The sequence below is a fragment of the Homo sapiens genome, chromosome X (assembly GCF_000001405.40).
Source record: "Homo sapiens chromosome X, GRCh38.p14 Primary Assembly".
NCBI lineage: Eukaryota > Metazoa > Chordata > Mammalia > Primates > Hominidae > Homo > Homo sapiens.
This window is the reverse complement of record NC_000023.11, coordinates 46,862,904-46,884,451: the sequence shown is the minus strand read 5'-3', so window position 1 is coordinate 46,884,451 and position 21,548 is coordinate 46,862,904. Positions and strand designations below refer to the sequence as shown.

The window sequence follows — 21,548 nt, the reverse complement described above, 5'->3', positions numbered from 1 at the left end:
TGAGTTTCGAAGAAGTGATCATATCCTAATTACAATACTTTCTCTTTGTATAGAGAATGGTTAAGTATGGCTAGGTGCGGTGGCTCATGCCTGTAATCCCAGCACTTTGGGAGGCCAAGGCAGTCAGATCACTTGAGGTGAGGAGTTTGAGACCAGCTTGGCCAATATGGTAAAACCCCATCTCTACTAAAAATACAAAAAATAGCTGGATTAGCCAGGCATGGTGGTGCGCACCTGTAATCCTGGCTACTCGGGAGGCTGAGCCAGGACAATCACTTGAACTGAGGAGGCAGAGGTTGCAGTGAGCCGAGACTGCATCACTGCACTCCATAGCAAAACTCCGTCTCCAAAACAACAACAAACAGCTAAGTATGTTCCTTTTAAATGAGAAAAACAAATTTTAAACATCAAGAATTATCCAATAATCTGGCTGGGCGCAGTGGCTCATGCCTGTAATCCCAGCACTTTCGGAGGCCTAGGTGGGCAGATCACCTCAGGTCAGGAGTTTGACACCAGCCTAGCCAACATGGTGAAACCCTGTCTCTACTAAAAATACAAAAGTTAGCTGGGCATGGTGTCACGCGTCTGTAATCCCAGCTACTCGGGAGGCTGAGGCAGGAGAATCACTTGAACCCAAGAGGCGGAGGTTGCAGTGAGCCAAGATTGTGCCATTGCACTCCAGCCTGGGCAACAAGAGTGAAACTCCATCTCAGAAAAAAAAAAAATTATCCAATAATCCAGGCTGTCACTACTAAAAAAAAATTATCCAATAAAAAATAATTTTTGTTATTGTCTTGTGCATGTTTTTTCTCAGTGCTCCAAATGCTGCAAATGTACATGCAGAACCTTTATAAAAATAATAAATGTTATTTTAAAAACTAATCAATCTGCAGTTGTTTCAGTCCTTCTGATTTATGGGCTAGGAGAGGGAGAAGTTGGGTACAAAAGACTGGAAAATTTGTAATTTTAAAATAAGGTCCATTTGTATAAACCTGAAAGTGTATCACTATTTTTGTTAAATATGGAAGAGAAAGATACCTAATCTTACTATCCATTCATAATAACATTCAAAATAAAATTCCTTTTAGCAAAGGAAGCATTATATTGGAAATTCCTTAGATTAAAATAGGTTTTCTACTTCCTTTGCATTGCTCCAGCGTCTTACACACACACACAGACACACACACACACAGCTCACAGCTCATATCTCATTAACTTAAGATGTAGATTAGAGCATTTTACATTTAATATTTAAAAAATTACGTCAAGTTTTGGCACATGTATGAGTAAATGCATGTTATAGAGTGCTCTTAGTGGTAAGTCATTTTATCAGTCCATTTCAGGTTACTATAAAAGAATGTCTGAGACTGGGTAATTTATAAAGAAAAGAGTTTCTGGGCCGGGCGAGGTGGCTCACGCCTGTAATCCCAGCACTTTGGGAGGCCAAGGCGGGTGGATCACTGGAGGTCAGGAGTTCGAGACCAGTCTAGCCAACATGGCGAAACCCCATCATCTCTATTAAAAATTCAAAAATTAGCTGGGCGTGGTGGCATGTGCCTGTAATCTCAGCTACTCAGGAGGCTGAGGAAGAATTGTTTGAACCTGGGAGGTGGAGGTTGCAGTGAGCTGAGATCACGCCACTGCACTCCAGCCTGGACGACAGAAGGAGACTCCGTCTCAAAAAAATAAAGAAAAAAGAAAAAGAGGTTCTGTAGGCTCTCTTAAAGAGGTTCTTTATAAAGAAAAGAGGTACTTTATAAAGAAAAGGGGTTCTGTAGGCTGAGAGGTTCAAGGGCATGGCTCTGGCTTCTGGTGAAGGCTTTTGTGCTACATCACAACATTGTGGAGAAGGTTAATGGGGAAGTGGACATTAGCAAAGAGAAGGAAACCCTTACCCTGCTTTATAGCAACTCACTCTCACGGAGCTAATCCAGTCTCTCTAGAGACAGGACCAAGCCATTCAGGAGGGATTGGGCTGCATAATTCAAACACCTCCCACTAGGCCCCATCTCCCAACACTGCCACACTGGGGATCAAATTTCAACATGAGCTTTGGTGGGGACAAACAGACCATATACAAACCATTGCAGCCATTTTCATTTTAACAACATTTATTACAAATCACATTTTATAAACACTAGATAAATTACATATAAAAGCTAGACATAAATATAAAGAAGCAAAACAAAAACAGCAGTACTATTAATGCAAGAGAAATAAGCTAATATAATATTTAAACACATATAACTTAATAAAATTACCAATTTTTCATTGTTAATAATTTTTCATAAATTCAAAAGCTATTCAGAAATGAAATGTAATACATTCTGATTACTATCAAAGGTTAGAATTATAGAAACAACCATAGCACTACTTATTTTTTAAAATCGTTTCAAACATTCAGAAGCCAAATGACTGTCCTTAAAGACAAATTAAATGGGTAAAAGGTCTTATCTAACAGAAGAATACAAAATTTTAAGCTTTGGTTAATAGATAATAAGTGTAGTGGAAATTTTTAAATTAACATCTCCCTTATATGTTATATTCCTGAGTTGTTGCTCAAATATCATAAAGAACTTAGTTTATAGCTTTATATAACATTGCATTTTATTTTTGAAAAACAAAAAGTATTGTTATTATTTGAAATGTGAATAATGGTGTTTAATAATATCATCATGGCCAGGCGCGGTAGCTCACACCTGTAATCCCAGCTCTTTGGGAGGCTGAGGTGGACGGATCACCTGAGGTCAGGAGTTCGAGACCAGCCTGACCAACGTGGAAAAACCCCATCTCAACTAAAAATACAAAAATTAGCCAGGTGTAGTGGCGCATGCCTGTATTCCCAGCTACTCAGGAGGCTGAGGCAGGAGAATCGCTTGAACCCAGGAGGCGGATGTTGTGGTGAGCCGAGATCGCGCCATTGCACTCCAGCTTGGGCAACAAGAGTGAAACTCCACCTCAAAAATAATAATAATAATAATAATAATATAATCATAACAGGATGGAGTCCCTTTAATTTAGCTTAACTAAGGGAAAAACTAATGCCGTCTGACCACTATTTGCAAAGATCATTTGTAAATTGTGATCAAAATTATATTAAATCTGTCACCAACTTTTATTTGCACCTTATGAAATCATGTTGATTTTGTAGTATTGAATGCCCTTATAAAAGAATTGAAATGATGCAGTGCTAATGGTTAGCACAAGGCCACGCACAGGGTGAGCGCTCAATATTACTAATTAATTTAAAGTGAAAATCTTTTAATGTATTATTTCTGCACCTTAACATGCAATTCAATGTAGTAGTTATTAACCCAAAAATATCCAAAAACATTTTAAACATGAAAATACATTTTAGTAACAATCATAGGAATGTTTACAAGTGGTTATTTTCAGTCTTAGTTTTATCAAAATAGAATTAAATTTCAGATTCCTTTTAAAAATAGGCCTATGAAAGCTGATTTCATAATAGCTGCTATATGTGATGTGGATGGCAGATTCAGTGCCTTCTCACAAGTTCAACCTATTGACACCTCCTGAACCAATTACTTTAGATTACAACATACCCCTTAAAACAGAGTTTCCCCTGAAGACTGAATCCGTGCATCTGAGGATTGGGTCCAAGAATGTGGATTTTTAAACAAGTAGCTCTCCTCTGCTTCCTGGTAAATTATTATGATCAGGTAGATTTGGGAAACAGTGCTTTAAAGCAACCAAAATAATTTTATCATACTTGAACATTACTTGATATGAATGGCATATCTAATGAAAAATCAAATGTATCAAGCTTTTTAATAATCTGCATAGCTTATCATCATGCCTATTTCTTACCTAAAAGTCACAAGGTTTTGTTCCAATTCTCTTGATAGCCCACAAGAGCTAATAAAAGTTATCACCTTTTTAAAAACTGCTGGTGATTGGGCTTCTACAGTTTTAGCATTGCATATACCTTTTCTTATCAGGAAGCAGAAGAGTCATATAGCAGTTGTATTAAAAAACTAAACAATGTGTAATTTATTCAAATAATCATACTACTTACGAAGTAGTCTTTAAATAGCTATACCAACATCTGTTAGTAGAGTTACTTGCCAAGCTGGTTATCAAATGCCTATTTCTTTAAAAAATTCAATTTACAAAGTATTATGTCAACTCCATGTACAAAATCTCATTTGCCATATAATGCAACTAGGAAGCAATTATATAACTGGATATGTGTACATAAAAATGTGCATAGGTTCATTCTAATTGATCGACTAGTAACAAATCCCTCTAAATTGAAAAAGGTAAAATAAGCAATGATATGGAGTCTCAAAAAAAGTATCATGGAGCACTGAGGAAAGTTTAAATTATTAGAGATTTGAAAGAACATTTAAATAGGATTAAAATAATAAACTTTTAGCTACTTCTGTTTTCTAATAAGAATATCATATGCAGAGAAACAAAACTGCAAGCTTATTAAAATGGGTTAAATAGCTTTTAAGCTGATTAAAACTACTTAATTTAAAATGAATTATTTTTGAACCTCAAGTAAATGATGTAATACTCAACAATTTATTAAAAAATAAACTTTAAAAGTTTTAGCATTAGTAAAAACCATTGCTAATACACAAAAGTGTATTATCAAATTCTATATTCACAAGTTGGGAAAGGCTTAATACCAAGTCCTGGTTCCACATTGCACTTCATATTCCCATCTGTATATCAGCAAAGTTGTAGAAGCTGTCTACATCTCCAGATGCCGTCTCCTTGCTTTCAGATACAAACATCTATTTTAAATAGAAAATTAAAAAAAAAAATCAGTACCAAGTACTTCAGAATGCCAAAGCCCATGTTCTCCACAGAACAAAGTTCCAAGCTAATTATTCAAAAGAAGTTCAAGTACATCATTTATAATGACAATATTTAATCTGTAGATTTTCTTTAGAATTCATGTAATACACTTTGAATAGCTATAATGTAAATTAAGCTCTTTTGGAAGCACTTATATAATTAAGGTCTCTGCTTTCATAATACTTGAGTTGTATTTTATTACATCTGGACTTTTACAACACTCAATATTACGGAAGCTACTGAATAAGAGTCACTTAAAAAACTCTTTGTTTCTTCTATTTTCTAATAATAATCTCAGTAGTCTGAGCAGCAAAACTTGAGATTATCCCTTTCAAAGCTGCTAAAGATATATTATTATTTTTTATTTTATTTTATTTATTTTTGAGACAGAGTCTTGCTCTGTTGCCCAGGCTGGAGTGCAGTGGTGCAATCATGGCTCACTGCAGCCTAGACTTCTGGACTCAAGTGATTCTCCTGCCTCAGCCCCCCAAGTAGCTGGTACTAATGGTGTGTACCACCATGCCTAGCTAGTTTTTTTTTTTTTTTTTTTTTTTTTTTTACTTTTTGTAGAGTCTCACTATGTTGCCCAGACTGGTCTTGAACTCCTGGGCTCAAGCAGTCTTCCCGCTTCAGCCTCCCAAAGTGCTGGGATTACAGGTGTGAGCCACCACACCCAGCCTGTTATTTTTAAATAAACTATCTGCTAAACATCAATGAAGCAATACTCAATAGAACCCTTCTAAAGTAGCTTTTACAAATGTCAGCAAGGAATTAGAGCAGATGTGGGTTCTATTCTAGCTTTATCGTAAACTAGCATATGATGCTGACAATTTAATAAACCTCTGTGGGCTCAGTAACTACACCTGTAAAATGAGAAAGCTGGATTAGATAATCTCTAAATCATTCAGCTCTAAAAGTCCAAATTCTAACCATTTTATCTCTCAGTTTCCTTTTCTATTCAACCTGGTATTTTCCCTCTCCCTTAGTACTACTGTGATGATAAAATGAGATCAAAGACAAAGTACTTTAATTTTTGTAAATTCAAGGAATCATAAGCCAAATCAGATGATAAAACCAAAATGTCCTCCCAGGTATTTATCAAAAAGTAGTCAATTATAGATTTGCTAATGTAATCCTCTATGTTTGGTTTTAAATTTATTTATGTCTGCAATTCTTAGATACAGCAACTTCATCAATATATTTAGAAAATGCCTACATGTGATGATTTCTTTTTTTTTTTTTTTTGAGACAGAGTCTCGCTCTGTCGCCCAGGCTGGAGTGCAGTGGCGGGATCTCGGCTCACTGCAAGCTCCGCCTCCCGGGTTCACGCCATTCTCCTGCCTCAGCCTCCCAAGCAGCTGGGACTACAGGCGCCCGCCACTACGCCCGGCTAATTTTTTTTTGTATTTTTAGTAGAGACGGGGTTTCACCGTTTTAGCCGGGATGGTCTCGATCTCCTGACCTCGTGATCCGCCCACCTCGGCCTCCCAAAGTGCTGGGATTACAGGCGTGAGCCACCGCGCCCGGCCTACATGTGATGATTTCTATGTATATCTGAAGTTCAATTTTTGGTGAAGCATTACTGAAGCAAGTAAAAATGAACCCTGGGCGTAAAAATGAACCCTGGGCAACAGAATCGTCCATCTAAAGACTATAATCTTAGAAATAAAATATTTTCAACAAATCAGTATTTTTAAAAATGCAAAGACTTGAAAAGACATTTGATGAGACTTTTTACTTTAGAAACATATACTATAGAAGGTTTTTAATAAATAGATTCTTATTTTGTAATTATTTTAAACAATTAAAGTTTAGTTTGGCAAGAAAAAAATCACAGCTTAGTTCCCAATTATTTATCAAAGGTTCTAAAAATCATGATCTGCTTTAAACACACACACACACACACACACACACACACCCCAAAAATTCCAAGCAACATTAGGGACAAAAGTATTAAAGTATTATTTGACTGTAAGGAAAAGGAGATGAAATGAAAAGTTAGATTGAAATACAGTCAATAAAATCTTGTACCTTGGTCCCATTGAATATCTCGTTTACAATAAGTTGACATACTTCTACAGCACCATCCCCATTAAACTCCAAGGCAATAACAGGACCTATAAGCAAACCCAAGAAACATTTTCTTAACACAAATACAAATATATTCTAAATTTAATCTTTTTATTCTTCCCTGAAGAATCTCCAGCATCTTCTTTGAGGGTGAAAGAGAAGGAAGAGGAAAGCAGACAGATGGGACATATCACCTCAGCTGCTTCTTCCTACGCTAATCATAAAACAAATTAACACAGTCTCATAACAAGTAGCTTCAGTACTATTATAGGACTAGTGTCACATTTTTAAAGTGTTGTAAATAGTCTGGCTTTTCTGGTTCTCATTCTTCTATAAAAACCACAGAAATTCTACTCATTTAGGAGTATAAAAATAGTTGATAAAATAGCAAATAAGATCAAAAGCAATCCAAGTCAACATAAGTAGGTTTTGCCAGGCAGCCAGCCTTGCTTCCAACTCTCCTACTTACCAGCCAAGTTCTAGGCCACCAATAATGAAGCTAAGCCAAATAAGAATTGAGGCCAGGCACCAAAAGTGATGACCATCTGAAAGTATTTTCCTTGAGTGTGTCTTAAAGCTACATTCTAGAAACATAGACAAAGTTTTTATTTTTTAATCCTTTTAATAGAATATCTGTGCCTCCTTTCTCATACATTAATTTGAAAACATTAAAAACCTCCTACAGTGATGGAAAAGTCTTGATCTCCAGGAAATTACAAATGTATTGAAAGAAGACATAAACCCATTAAACAAATACAAACCAACACAGAATAATGAAGTACGAAGTAATGAAATACTAGAGTGAATGAATATGAAACACTAAATTGAATGTAACCGTGTGCTGCAGTACAAGGTACAAGAATGAGAAAGAAAAGGTTACACTACATTGGGCATCAAGATAACTGAAGGCTTGTGATTTTTTTTTTCTTGGAGGCTTGTGATATAATACAGGCAACAAATACAGAAAAGGCAGGATATAGTGGTCCCTAGGTATCTGCAAGGATTGGTTCCATTTGTTGCTCAAATCCCTTATATATTAATAAAATGGTATAGTATTTGCATATAACTTATGCACATCCTCCTGTATACTTTATTAAAAATGTATTAAAATTTCTTTTAGAGATAGAATCTCACGGCTGGGCACAGTGGTTCATGCTTGTAATCGTAGAATTTTGGGAGGCCTAGGCAGGAGGATCACAAGCCCTGGAGTTGAAGACCAGCCTAGGCAACAAAGCAAGACCCCGTCTCTACAAAAAATTAAAAAATTAGCTGGGTGCAGGGTCACAGGCCTGTAGTCCCAGCTACTCGAGGGACTGAGATGGAAAGATCACTTGACCCCAGGAGTTTGAGGTTATAGCAAGCCATGATCAAGCCACTGCACTCTAGCCTGGACAACAGAGCGAGACCATGTCTCAAAAAAAAAATAGATATGGGGTCTCACTATGTTGCTCAGTCTGGTCTCAAACTCTTGGCCTCAAGCAATCCTCTTGCCTTCAGCCCTGGCCAGGAGTTCAAGAACATATTGTAATAAAACATCTAACCTTACAAAAGAAAAGCTTAAAATCTTAAATTTTTATTTAGAAATATCAATGTAAACTCATGATCTTTTCCTTTTTAAAAATACATAGTTTCTAGCTATGTCCACTGAAAAAGCTTAAAAGAAATGACAACCCAGTAATACATAGCACCTAACATGTATTTCTAAATATCATTCCCCACTAAAAATAACTAAGTAATCTTAGAAAAATAGATGATTCCATGTCTGGGGCAAGAAATGGATTAAGGTCAATGTGGAATATTTTCTTCAGCCAAAAAGTAATGAAGCTATCAAAGGCCAGTGGGGTTCTATCAAAAGGAGACAGAAGCCAGCCTGAAGGGGCTCCCAATGGCCAAAGATGAGACATAGTGAAACAGAAGGAATAATGACTCTGATTTATTAAAATTAATATATAAAAAGTCATGAGTTCATAATGATACTTAGAGAGATCCTCCTTACTACCAGATATTTTTAAGGAAAATAAAAAAAGAAGAGAGAAACAAAATTCACTGTATACCAATGGAGGTTGCTAGGGCACCAATTCACTACTCTGAAAATTGATGCTTATTTTTCTCTTTATTTATTCTGCTTTTCTGACATGAAGCATATTTCAAGTTAACCAAACAGCTCTGGCATACGAGGAGTTCTGTTAACATCTGTTAATAAATGCAGAGGTAGTGACAAGATTAAAAAGTAAGTTTGCTAAAAAAAAAAAAAAAGAAAGAAAATACAGAAAACAGTCATTTTGCAACGCCTATTAAAACAATTGGTTCAGGCAACAATCATCAATGGTTTTAGCATCCCACAGAGAAGACTGCAGGAAACTCTACAATAAAAAGAGAAGGTCGTCACCGTGTAAACCCAACCATTAAATCTTAGTATCCCTAAAAGTACAACAATCAAACATTATGTGCCTTCTCAATTAATGCAACAGGAAACAGTACCATCTATGTATTCCTGCCAAAAAAAATTAAAAAATAAAAGTAAAAAAATAACTAAACCTGAACGTAAACAAGGCTTTGATCTAACTTCTAGTCTGCAAGAAATATGGAGGAACGAATTAAACAACCTCATAAATACTATAACATAATTGACCAAGCTTCTTTCCCAAGACAAAGGCAAGAAAAAAGTAGTAGAGGGGGAACACCTGTTTTTGATTTAAGAGCGATAGAAGATTAAAAAAAAAAAACCAAATACAGTAAGTGGGTCTATTTTAGATCTGGATCAAATTAACTGTAAAAACACAAAGAATTATTTTAGTAAGTAGGTAAATCTGCATATAGACTGAATATTAGAGGATACTAAGGAATTATTGTTAATTCTGTTAAATGTGATAATGCACTGTAGTTAAGAAAACATTTTTAATTTTGTTTTAAGATAATGAAATATTTAGGGATGAAATGACAGGATGAATCAATTTGATTAAAATGTTTTAGCAAACAATGAGTTTTTTTTTTAAGTATGGCAAGAAGTTGATGAAACTGGGTGATGGGTACACATGGGGGTCATTGTACTCTCTACATTTAGTACATTTGGAAATTTGCAAAATGAGTTTAAAAAGTACTTTAAACCTAATAAATACTGAACTAAAAAGAAAAGGTTGATAATAAATGTAGGGTTTCCAGTTTTGCAAGGTAGAAAGTTTGAATTAAGGTAGAATATAGTTTCATCACTACAAGGAAATATAGTGTGTGTGTGTATTTAAGTTAGACATTTATTATTAAAAGTTCCAGTCTTTCTATAAAGAACATGTAATCTAGAATTCAGAAATACAATCTTGGTAGAATTACTCAGGTATATAACTTGATTGATATTGACTAGAATATGATAAACTTCCAATAAATGACCTAATAATTTTCCAACAAAAAAGTGGACAAATGCATTTGTTTTAACATGTGTGGATAATCTTAAATTTAAAAAGACTACAATGTTTGTCTTATATGCTTGACATAGATTTGCAACTCAGTAGTTTATGGTGTTCCTAGAACGCAGCTGAAGACCTGGTATGTAGAGGAAATATGAGGGGTGGTGCTAGAAGACAGACATCTGTGGAATGATTCACATCCTCTCAAATTAGGAGGATGGAGGCCTGCTTCATTAAGAAGCTCAGGGTCAGGTGGGGGTGGGGAAAACACTTAGCAACATGGGGAACCGTCAGGGGAGTCTCCTTATTTCTGTTCTGCATATGAAGACTCCTATAGCAGCCAGGTGAGGCTCTCTAGTTTAATAAAAATCATGGGAAGAGTCTGAAGACTCTTCATAAGTGTTAATAGGGATTTTTATCAGCTTATTTTGGTTGCAGTTTCCAATTTTTGAAAATGTTTAGGTAATCTTTTCCACCTTCCCAAATCCTAATTCTTTAGATTCATTAGTGTTGAACCAATGCTTTCTCATGTCTCAATTCTTTGTTTATGCATTCTTTTCATATGTATTAAACAAACAAAAACCCTTAAAAAAACTACAGTGTTGACAATGCACTTGCTAAGCACTACTAAATTTTTTAAAAACTACAATGTTGACAACACACTTGTTAAACACTACTATTTGTCCCTCTATCTAATGATGATGCCAATTACTGTGATTATTTCTAACTGAACTATGAGGTCAACAAGGATTACTGGTCATGTTTTTAGTGTTTTAATATGAACATCTTATTCAGAGAGTTCATGGTAGCTTTAGATCTAAATATTTCAGCTGTCATGAAAAATTGTGAGACTCTGAAGCAGACAAAAAAGATTTCTGGATGTCTTATCTAGTGAACCCTTCTGAGATCTAACATGACCTTGGAACAAGCCACTATGTCTCAATTAGATTACTGCAACAGCCTCCTAGCTGGTCTTTCTGCTTCCCCATTAAAGCGACCAGTGACAGGATTTACACTTTAAAAGGACCATGACATTCCTCTGCTCTAAAACTGCCTATAAAGTATGATCTATATTTTTATTTTTAATTGCTCTAAAAATAAGTGACGGTTCAGGCCAGGCACAGTGGCTCACTCCTGTATTCCTAGCAGTTTGGGAGGCTGAGGCAGGCAGATCGCTTTAGCCCAGGAGTTCAAGACCAGCCTAGGCAACATGGCAAAGCCCCATCTCTACAAAAAAATACAAAAATTAGCCAGGCGTAGTAGCCCATGTCTGTAGTCCAAGCTATTCGGGAGACTGAGGTAGAAGAATCACCTGAGCTCTGGAGGTCGAAGCTGCAGTGAGCCGAGATCAAGCCACTGCGCTCCAGCCTGGGCATCAAAGTGAGATCCTGTCTCAAAAACAAACACACAAACAAACAAACAAACAAAAAAACACCAGACAGTTCAAAGCAATAACATTAACAACGTATTAGGTGTTTATAGCATATACAACAGTAATATATGACAATAATGACACAGAGATGAGAAGGAAGAATTAAGAATATAATGTTATCAGGTCCTTAGATGACAGGTGAAGTTGTGTAATATTAGAAGGTAGACTCAAATTATTTAAAAATATTTGCTGTAAAACCCAACATAACCATTAAATAAGTTTTTGAAGAAGAGGTATAAATATGTCAATAGACAAGATTAAGTGGAATTACAAAACTGCTAAAAAGAAAAAGAGGTAATAAGAAAAAAAGAACAACTGGAACAAATCAGCTAGCAAAATGAAAGATTTTGATCCAACTGTATCAATAATCCCTTTCAATGTGAATGGTCTAAATACAGCAGTTAAAAGAGACTGGATTGAAAAGCAAAAACCAACTACATGCTGTCTACAGAACACTCACTTTAAATATACAGCCTTGATAAGCTACAAGAAAAAAAGATAAATCTTTACAATAAAACACTAACCAAATGAAAGCTAGAGTAGCTATATTAATTTGAGATGAAGTAGATTTCAGAACAAGGAAAATTATCAGAGATAAAGAAAGACATCAGAGTCGGACATGGTGGCTTGTGCCTGTAATCCCAGCTACTGAGGAGGCTGAGGTGGGAGGATTACTTGAGCCCCAGGAGTTCGAGGCTGCAGTTGAGCTATGACTGCACCACTGTACCCCAGACTGGGTGACAGAGCAAGAACCCCTCTCTTAAAAAAATGAGGGACATCACATAACCATGAAGGATTCTCCAAGAAGATATAACAATCCTAAATGTGTATGCACATAATAACAGAGCTTCAAAATACATGAGACAAAACCTGACAGGATCTGAAAAGAGAAACAGACAAATCCAAAATTACAGTTGGAGGCTTCAACACTCCTCTCTCATTGATTTATGGAACAAGTAGGCAGAAAATCAGCAAGGATACAGATAACCTGAATAGCACTATCAACCAACTTGACCTAGTGGACATTTATAGAAAATTCAACCAAGCAACAGCAGATTACACATTCTTCTCAGATGCACATAGAATATTCACCAAGATAAGCCATATTCTGTGCCATAAAATACATTTTAATATAAAAAACAGAAATCATACAAATGTGTATTCTTGGACCATAACAGGATTTAGAAATCAATAATAGAAATACACTTGGGCAATCCCCAAATGTTTGGAAATTAAACAATTATACTTCTAAATAATCCGTGGATCAAGTGAGGTCTCAAGGGAAACTAAAAAATAGTTTTAACTAAATCAGTGGTCAACATACTTTTTCTGTAAAGGGCCAGACAGGAAATATTTCAGGCTTTGTGCACCATAATGTAATAGATAAAAGAATGAGTGGCCGGGTGTGGTGGCTCGCACCTGTAATCCCAGCACTTTGGGAGGCTGAGGCGGGCAGATCACCTGATGTCAGGAGTTTGAGACTAGCCTGGCCAACATGGTGAAACCCCATCTCTACTGAAAATACAAATATTAGCCGGGCGTGGTGGCGGGCACCTGTAATCCCAGCTACTCGGGAGGCTGAGGCAGGACAATTGCTTGAACCCGGGAGGCGGAGGTTGCAGTGTGCCACTGCACTCCAGCCTGGGTGACGAGAGCAAAACTCCATCTCACAAAAAAAAAAAAAAAAAAAAAAAAAAGGAATGAGCGTGGCTGTGCTCCAATAAGACTTCACTTATTAAAGCAGGCAGTGGGCCATAATTTGCCAAACTCTGAATTAAATAAAAATGAAAATACAACATATCAAAATTTGTGAGATGTGCTAAAGCAGTGCTTAAAGGAAAAATTGTAACATTAAATAACAGATATAGTCAATCCTCATTATATGCAGATCCCTTCATTTCAAATTTACCTACTTGCTAAAATTCATTTCTAACTCCCCAAATCAATGCTTGCAGTGCTTTCATGGTTATTTGTGGACATGCACAGTGGCAAAAAATTAGAATTGCCTGATGTGCATGCTCCCAGCTGAGGCTGAACAAGGTGATACTCTGCCTGTTTCAGCTATTGTAGTATAAGAAAGTGTCCTTTGTGAGGTCTAGGTAGTGCCGTATTTTTCACATTTTTGTGCTTTTTGTTGGTGATTTTACCTGTTTAAAATATCCCCTAGGCCAGGCACAGTGGCTCATGCCTGTAATCCCAGCACTTTGGGAGGCTGAGGAGGGAGGATTGCTTGAGGCCAGAAGTTCAAGATCAGCCTGGGTAACATGGCAAGACCCCAACTCTACAACATTGTTTAAAAAAATAGCTGGGGGCTGGGCGTGGTGGCTCATACCTGTAATCCCAGCACTTTGGGAGGCCAAGTTGGGTGGATCACCTGAGCCCAGCAGTTCAAGACCAGCCTGGGCAACAAAGCAAGACCCTGTCTCTTTTATGTTAAAAAAAAAATAGCTGGGCATGGTGGAGTGAACCTGTAGTCCTAGCTCCTTGCGAGTCTGAGGTGGGAGGATCACCTGAGCCCATGAGTTTGAGGTTACAGTGAGCTATGGTCATACCACTGCACTCTACCCTGGCTGACAGAGCAAGACCCTGTCTCCAAAAAAATAAAATAGCCCCCAAACACAGTGCTGAAGTGCTGTCTAATGGCTCCTAAACTGAGGAAAGTTGTGATGTGCCTCATGAGAAAATGTGTTAGATAAGCTTTGCTCCAGCATCAGTTCTAGTGCTGTTGGCTGTGAGTTCAATGTTAACGAATCAACAGTATATGCTAAATAAGGTATCTTTAAACACACATTAAACAAAGTTATGTATTGCACCAGGCGCGGTGGCTCACGCCTGTAATCCCAGCACTTTGGGAGGCCGAGGCAGGCGGATCACCTGAGGTCAGGAGTTTGAGACCAGCCTGACCAACATGGAGAAACCCCATCTCTACTAAAAATACAAAATTAGCCGGGCGTGGTGGCACATGCCTGTAATCTCAGCTACTCAGGAGGCTGAGGCAGGAGAATCACCTGAACCCGGGAGGCGGGGGTTGCGGTGAGCCGAGATCACACCATTGCACTCCAGCCTGGGCAACAAGAGCAAAACTCTGCCTCAAAAAAAAAAAAAAAAAAAAGTATGTATGAAAACCTACAACTGACGGCCGGGCACGGTAGCTCACGCCTGTAATCCCAGCGCTTTGGGAGGCCGAGGTGGGCGGATCACCGAGACCAGCCTGACCAACATGGAGAAACCCCGTCTTCATTAAAAATACAAAATTAGCCGGGCGTGGTGGCGTGCCTGTAATCCCAGCTACTCAAGAGGCTGAGGCAGGAGAATCACTTGAACCTGGGAGGCAGAGGTTGCGGTGAGCCAAGATCGCGCCATCGCAGTCCAGCCTGGGCAACAAAGAGCAAAACTCCGTCTTAAAAAAAAAAAAAAAGAAAAACTACAACTGACATAATTCCTTTTAAAATTTTTAATTTAATTTTTTTAAGAGATGGGGGTCTCACTTTGTTGTTCAGGCTGGTCTTGAACTCTTTGCTTCAAGCAATCTTCCTGCCTTGGCCTCCCAAATTGCTGGGATTACAGGCATAAGCAACTGTGCCTAAACCTGACATCGATGTTTTTGTTGTTTTGAGACAGGATCTCCTTGGGTCACTCCCCCCAAGGCTGGAGTGCAGTGATGTGATCTCAGCTAACTGCAACCTCTGCCTCCCAGGCTCAAGTGATCCTCCCACCTCAGTCTCCCAAGTAGCTGGGACTACAGGCACGCACCATCACACACCCAACTAATTTTTGTATTTTTTTGTAGAGATGAGGCTTTGCCTTGTTGCCCACGCTGGTCTCAAACTCCTGGGCTCAAGTGATCCACCTGCCTCAGCCTCCCTAAGTGCTGGGACTACAGGCATGAGCCACTGCGCCTGGCCACTGACATTCTTTTTTTTTTTTTTTTTTGAGATGGAGTATCGCCCTGTCTCCTAGGCTGGAGTGCAGTGGCGCGATCTTGGCTCACTGCAACCTCCACCTGCCGGGCTCAAGCGATTCTCCTGCCTCAGCCTCCCAAATAGCTGGGATTACAGACAAGTGCCACCACGCCCGGCTAATTTTTTGTATTTTTAGTAGAGACCCGGGTTTCATCATGTTGGCAGGCTGGTCTCGAACTTCTGGCCTCAAGTGATCCACCCACCTTGGCCTCCTAAAGTGCTGGGATTACAGGTGTGAGCCACTGCGCCCGGCCTACATCATTCCTAAGGGTGAGACTGAACACTTGCAGAATAGTGATGGAAGGCATCTTTGCCTTGCTCCTGAGATCAGCCTCCAGAGTAGCTGGGGCTACAGGCGCATGACACCATGCTCGGCTCATTTTTTTTTTCTTTTTGTAGAGACAAAGTCTCATTATGTTGCCTAGGCTGGTTTCGAACTCCTGGGCTCAAGCAATCCTCCTGCCTCGGCCTCCCAAAGTGTTGGGATTACAGGCATGAGCCACCACGCCTGGCCTATCTTGACAAATTCCCTGTGAATCTAAAATTGTTTCAAAATTAAAAGTTGATTTAAAAAACACAATGAGATATCATGACACACCTATTGGAAAACTGACAATAGCAAATGCTAGCAAATTACCCAAGTGACTTGAAAAGTTATGTACACTCAAAAACCTATATACAATGCAGGTCCCTCAAAAAACTAAAAATAGAACTACAACATGATCCAGCAATTCCACAACTGGGTATAGATCCAAAAGCAAGGAAATCAGTATGTCAAAGAGATAGTTGCACTCATGATCACTGCAGCACTATTCATAATTGTCAAAATATGAAATCGGCCTAATTGCCCATCAACAGATAAATGGATAAAGAAAATGTGTTACCCTTATACAATGGAATATTAGTCAGCCATAAAAGGAATGAAATCCTGTCATTTGCAGCAACATGGATGGAACTAGGGACCACTAGTTAAGTGAAATAAGCCAAGCACAGAAAGACAAATATCACATGCTCTCACTCATATGTGGGGGCTAAAAAAAGTGGATCTCATGAAGATAGAGAGTAGACTGGTGGTTATCAGAGGCTGGAAAAGGGGACAGTGGGGTGGGGGGGAATGTGGAGAAAAAAAGAGAATGTAAATGTATTACCACTGAACTGTATACTTAAAAATGGTAAAGGTGGTAAATTATGTATGTATATTTTACCTTAATAAAAAAACTTACACACAAATGTTTATACTGGCTTTATTCATAATTGGCAAAACTGGAAACAAGCAGGATGTCCAACAATTGAATGGAAAAACAAACTGGTACATCAATACAAGGAATACTATTCAGCAATAAAAAGGAACAAGTTGGCTAGGAGCGGTGGCTCACGCCTGTAATCCCAGCACTTTGGGAGGCCGAGGCGGGCGGATCGCCTGAGGTCGGGAGTTCGAGACCAGCCTGGCCAGCATGGTGAAACGCCATCTCTACTAAAAATACAAAAATTAGTCGGGCGTGGTGGCAGGCATCTGTAATCCCCGCTACTCGGGAAGCTGAGGCAGGAGAATCGCTTGAACCCAGGAGGTGGAGGTTGCAGTGAGCCAAGATCACGCCATTGCACTCCAGCCTGGGCAACAGAGCGAGACTCCTTGTCAAAAAAAAAGACAAAAGAAAAAAAAAGGAACAAGTTATTGAGTCACCTAGCAAGAAGACTGAATCACAAATGCATTTTAATAAATGAAGCCAGACCCAAAAGGCTACATGTTGTATGATTCCATTTATGGTACACTCTGGAAAAGACAAAATCATAGGGACAGGAGACAAATCAGTTGCCAGGAGTTGTGGTTGACTGACTAAAGGGGCCACACAAGGGAAATTTTTAGGGAGAACTGTTTTCCATGGTACTGGGGTGATAAGTGGGGTGGTGGACTTTATGCACTCATCAAAACTCATGCCAACTGAATGTTACTGTATGCAAATTTTAAAAAATTAACCAAGATGTCACAGTATCCAAGGATGGAATGAAGCTTGTAACAAATGAATCTAACAGTATTAGAAATGTGTGCCAATACTTCAATGAAGGGGATAAGGGAAAAAGGAGCTAACCTCAGGACTTTGGAAAACTGTTTTGAGTGGCTACTGTAAGGCTAAAGACAAGACTGTACAATACCAACTGCACTCTAGTTGGCAAATAAGTTTCTCACAGGGGTATGGGTTAGTAATTCTAAAAATATATTATATTTATACTAGGGTTAAACAAATAAGTGAATAAAATGGACATAATGGAAGCCAGGTTTCTCACTTTCAGAGTAAGAAGTCACAAAAAAGCAAGGGAAGGGATGCTAGAATGAACCCTGTGGTGCTGGATTAGGGTCAGAGGTATTTTAATAGATAGATAGATAGATACAGGATTATAGATGTGTGTGTATATACAGGTTAATAGTCATACATGTATTTTTTACCTTTGTCTGTTGAAAGGGCCTAGAACCAGTGGTACCCCATTAGTAAAGGGCACACCTAGCACCCAGATCATGGTTTCTAACTATCATTCTAGAATAAAAGAAACCAGCGTTCCTTGGAGAAATGGTTGATACTAGTTCTGGAGCAAGGAAAAATACAGGATGAGCCTGGAGCATCTTGTAGGGCCAGGAAGTAAGGAAGTGTTCAAAATTCAAAAGGATGGGGCATGTCAAAGGGACAAAAAAGCCAACCTAAAAGAGCTCCAGATGGTTAAAACCAGAACAATTTGATAGTATTGGATTATAACTTAAAAGAACAAAATACACACCCATGAGAAATAAATGATTGAATAAATGGGGAGAAGGGACAAATCTTTTTTTTTTTTTTGAGACAGAGTCTCACTCTGTCGCCCAGGCTGGACTGCGGTGGCAATCTTGGCTCACTGCAATCTCCGCCTCCCAGGTTCAAGTGATTCTCCTGCCTCAGCCTCCCGAGTAGCTGGGACTACAGGCATGCGCCACCACATCCAGCTAATTTATGTATTTTTAGTAGAGATGGGGTTTCACCATGTTGGCCAGGATGGTCTCGATCTCTTGACCTCGTGATCCGCCTGCCTCAGCCTCCCAAAGTGCTGGGATTATAGGCGTGAGCCACCACACCCAGCCAGGACAAATGTTTCTTACAGAATTCCAAATAATGTATGTGGATATTCCTGTCTCCCGATGGTAGAGCTTAATTCTCCTCTCCTTGATTGTGTGTTGATCTTAGTGACTCATTTTCAAAGAATGGAGTATGGAAAGGGAAACATGGAAACTTTACGGCAGAGAAATCTGGCAGATATCACCTCATATTGACATCATGTGCCCTGTGATGTCGTGATGAGAAGGGCACTTCCTCTTCCTAAAAACCCATAACCCTAGTCTAACCAGAGGAAAATGTCAGATAAACATAAATTGAGGAACATTCTACAAAATAATTGACCACTACTATTCAAAAGTTTCAAGATTATGAGAAACAAGGAAGACTGAAGAAATGTCACATCTGTCACAGGAAATTAAGGAGACATGGCAACAAAAAGCAATGTGGGATCTTGGATTGAATTCTGGAACTGAAAAAGGACATAAGTTGAAAAACTGGTAAAATTTGAATAAAGTCTGTAGTTTAAGTTAGCATTTTACCAATGTAAATTTCTTAGCTTTGACAAATGTACTATGGTTATGTTAACATTTAGGGAAGCTGGGTAAGGGATATACAGAAACTTTCTGTACTATCTTTGCAATTTTTCTGTAAACCTAAAATCATTCCAATATAAAAAGTTTATTTTAAAAAAGCCCACAAATGTCCAGTAGCATCTCATCTCACTCAGACTACTATAGAAGCCAAAGTCTCTACAGTGGCCTACAAGGCCCTTCATTATCTCTCTCTCTACTTCTCAGACCTCATCTACTATGTTTGTTGAATAATTGAATGAATTACTCCCTAAAACAAAAGAACCCAAGTCTGACTAATCTGGAGAACTATCAAAAAAGGAACATTCCAAGGGTACATCTCAAAGATTTCTGAATCAGGCTTTCTGGGGTGGGAGTAGAAAATTTGTTTATTGGCTGGGCTTGGTGGCTTATGCCTATAATCTCAGCACTTTAGGAGGCTGAGGCGGACGCATCACATGAGCCCAGGAGCTTGAGACTAGCCTGGGCAACATGGCAAAATGCCATCTCTACAAAAAATACAAAAATTAGCTGGGTATGGTGGTGCACGCCTGTAGTCCCAGCTACCCAGGAGGCTGAGGTGAATGGATCGCTTGAGCCCAGGAGTCAGAGGTGGGAGGATTGCTCGAGCTCCGGAGTCAGAGGTGGGAGGATTGCTTGAGCCCCGAAGACAGGGTTTGCAGTGAGCCGAGATTGCAGCACTGCACTCTAGCCTGGACAACACAGTGAGACCCTGTCTCAAAAAAAAAAAAAAAAAGAAAGGAAGGAAGGAAGGAAAATTTGTTTATGTATTTATGTATTTGAGACAAGGTCTCGCTCTGCTGCCCAAGCTCGAGTGCAGTGGCACGATCATGGGTCACTGCAGCCTCAACCTCCCTGGGCTCAGGTGATCCTCCCACCTCAGCCTCCAAGTAGCTGGGACTACAGGTGCACACCATCACACCCAGCTAATTTTTGTAGAGACAGGGTTTTGCCATGTTGCCCAGGCTGGTCTTGAACTCCTAGGCTCAAGTGATCCGCCTGCCTCAGCCTCCCAAAGTGCTGGAATTACAGGTGTGAGCCACCGTGCCTGGCTGAAAATTTACATTTTTAAAAGCACCCTGGATGGTTCTGAGGATTAGTCAGATTTGGAGATCCTCATGATGGAAAACAATGAATTCTCTTATTAAGCAGTCAAATAGCTTTATTAAATATTAAAAATAAATGTGACTATTGCAACTGAAGAGGAAAATTGAGAGACTCTGAGGTGCAAACTATTTAAGATACATGTGAATTCTCAAAAGAAATAAATAAATAAGACCACCCTTAGTTCAGTACAGTGATTCTCAACTGGGAGCAATTTTGCCTCCCTCCCACACCCCTGGGGACATCTGGAAACATTTTTCGTTGCCACAACTGGGGTGGTGTTTTATTGGCATCTAATAGGTAGAGGCCAGAGATGCTGCCAAACATCTTGTAAGGTATAGGACAGCCTCTCATAACAAAGAATTACCTGGCCTAAAATGTCTGTAGTGCCACAGTTGAGAAACCCTGCCTTAGAATGACTGATGGCCACTTTTAGATAAGGGCCCAGTCCATCCAACTCCTGCTAGAATATCTCCACTGCCAGCCTACTCAGTATTCCACAGGAATCAGCGCACTGCTGAGCAGCTTAAAAGTTTTCCCCAACTTTTTATTTTGAAAATTTCTATACATTATAGAAGAATTGAAAGAATAGCATAAATATGCATTTGCCCTTCACCTACACCCACCAAAAGTTAACATTTGTCCCCATTTGCTTTATTACAAAATAAACACCATCTATCTGCACATATATGCTTTGTTTTGCTGAGTCATTTGAAAGTAGCAGACATAAGAACACTTCAGCATGTATCTCCTGCATAACCACACCACCATTATTATACCAAAGGATCAACGATAATTCTATCTCATCTTCAAACTTCCCCACTTGTCCCAAAAATGCTTTTTACAGCTCACTCCAACCCAACCTAAGATCCAATCAAGGTTCACTCATTGCATTTAGTTGTTATATCTCTTTAGTCTCTTAATCCAGAATAATTCCCCCATATTTTTTGTTTTCCATTATACTGTCTGAAGAGACCTAGCCAGTTGTCTTGTAGAATGTCTTCTATTTTGGATTTGTCTTATTTCCTTATGGTGTCATTTAACATATTTCTTTTCTTCCTACACTACAAACTACA

General features: G+C 38.7%; 1 protein-coding gene across 1 annotated transcript in view; it reads right to left on the bottom strand.

Moving 5' to 3' along the window:
- RP2 (RP2 activator of ARL3 GTPase) overlaps positions 2,094 to 21,548 on the bottom strand; it is a 45,316-nt gene continuing 25,861 nt past the window's right edge. Inside the window, exons 4-5 of the mRNA NM_006915.3 lie at positions 6,862 to 6,947; positions 2,094 to 4,766 (exon numbers count right to left, since the gene is read on the bottom strand). Of these exons, the coding sequence (NP_008846.2) occupies positions 4,683 to 4,766; positions 6,862 to 6,947 (170 nt within the window). The 3' untranslated portion in view covers positions 2,094 to 4,682. The remainder of the gene's footprint in view (positions 4,767 to 6,861; positions 6,948 to 21,548) is intronic.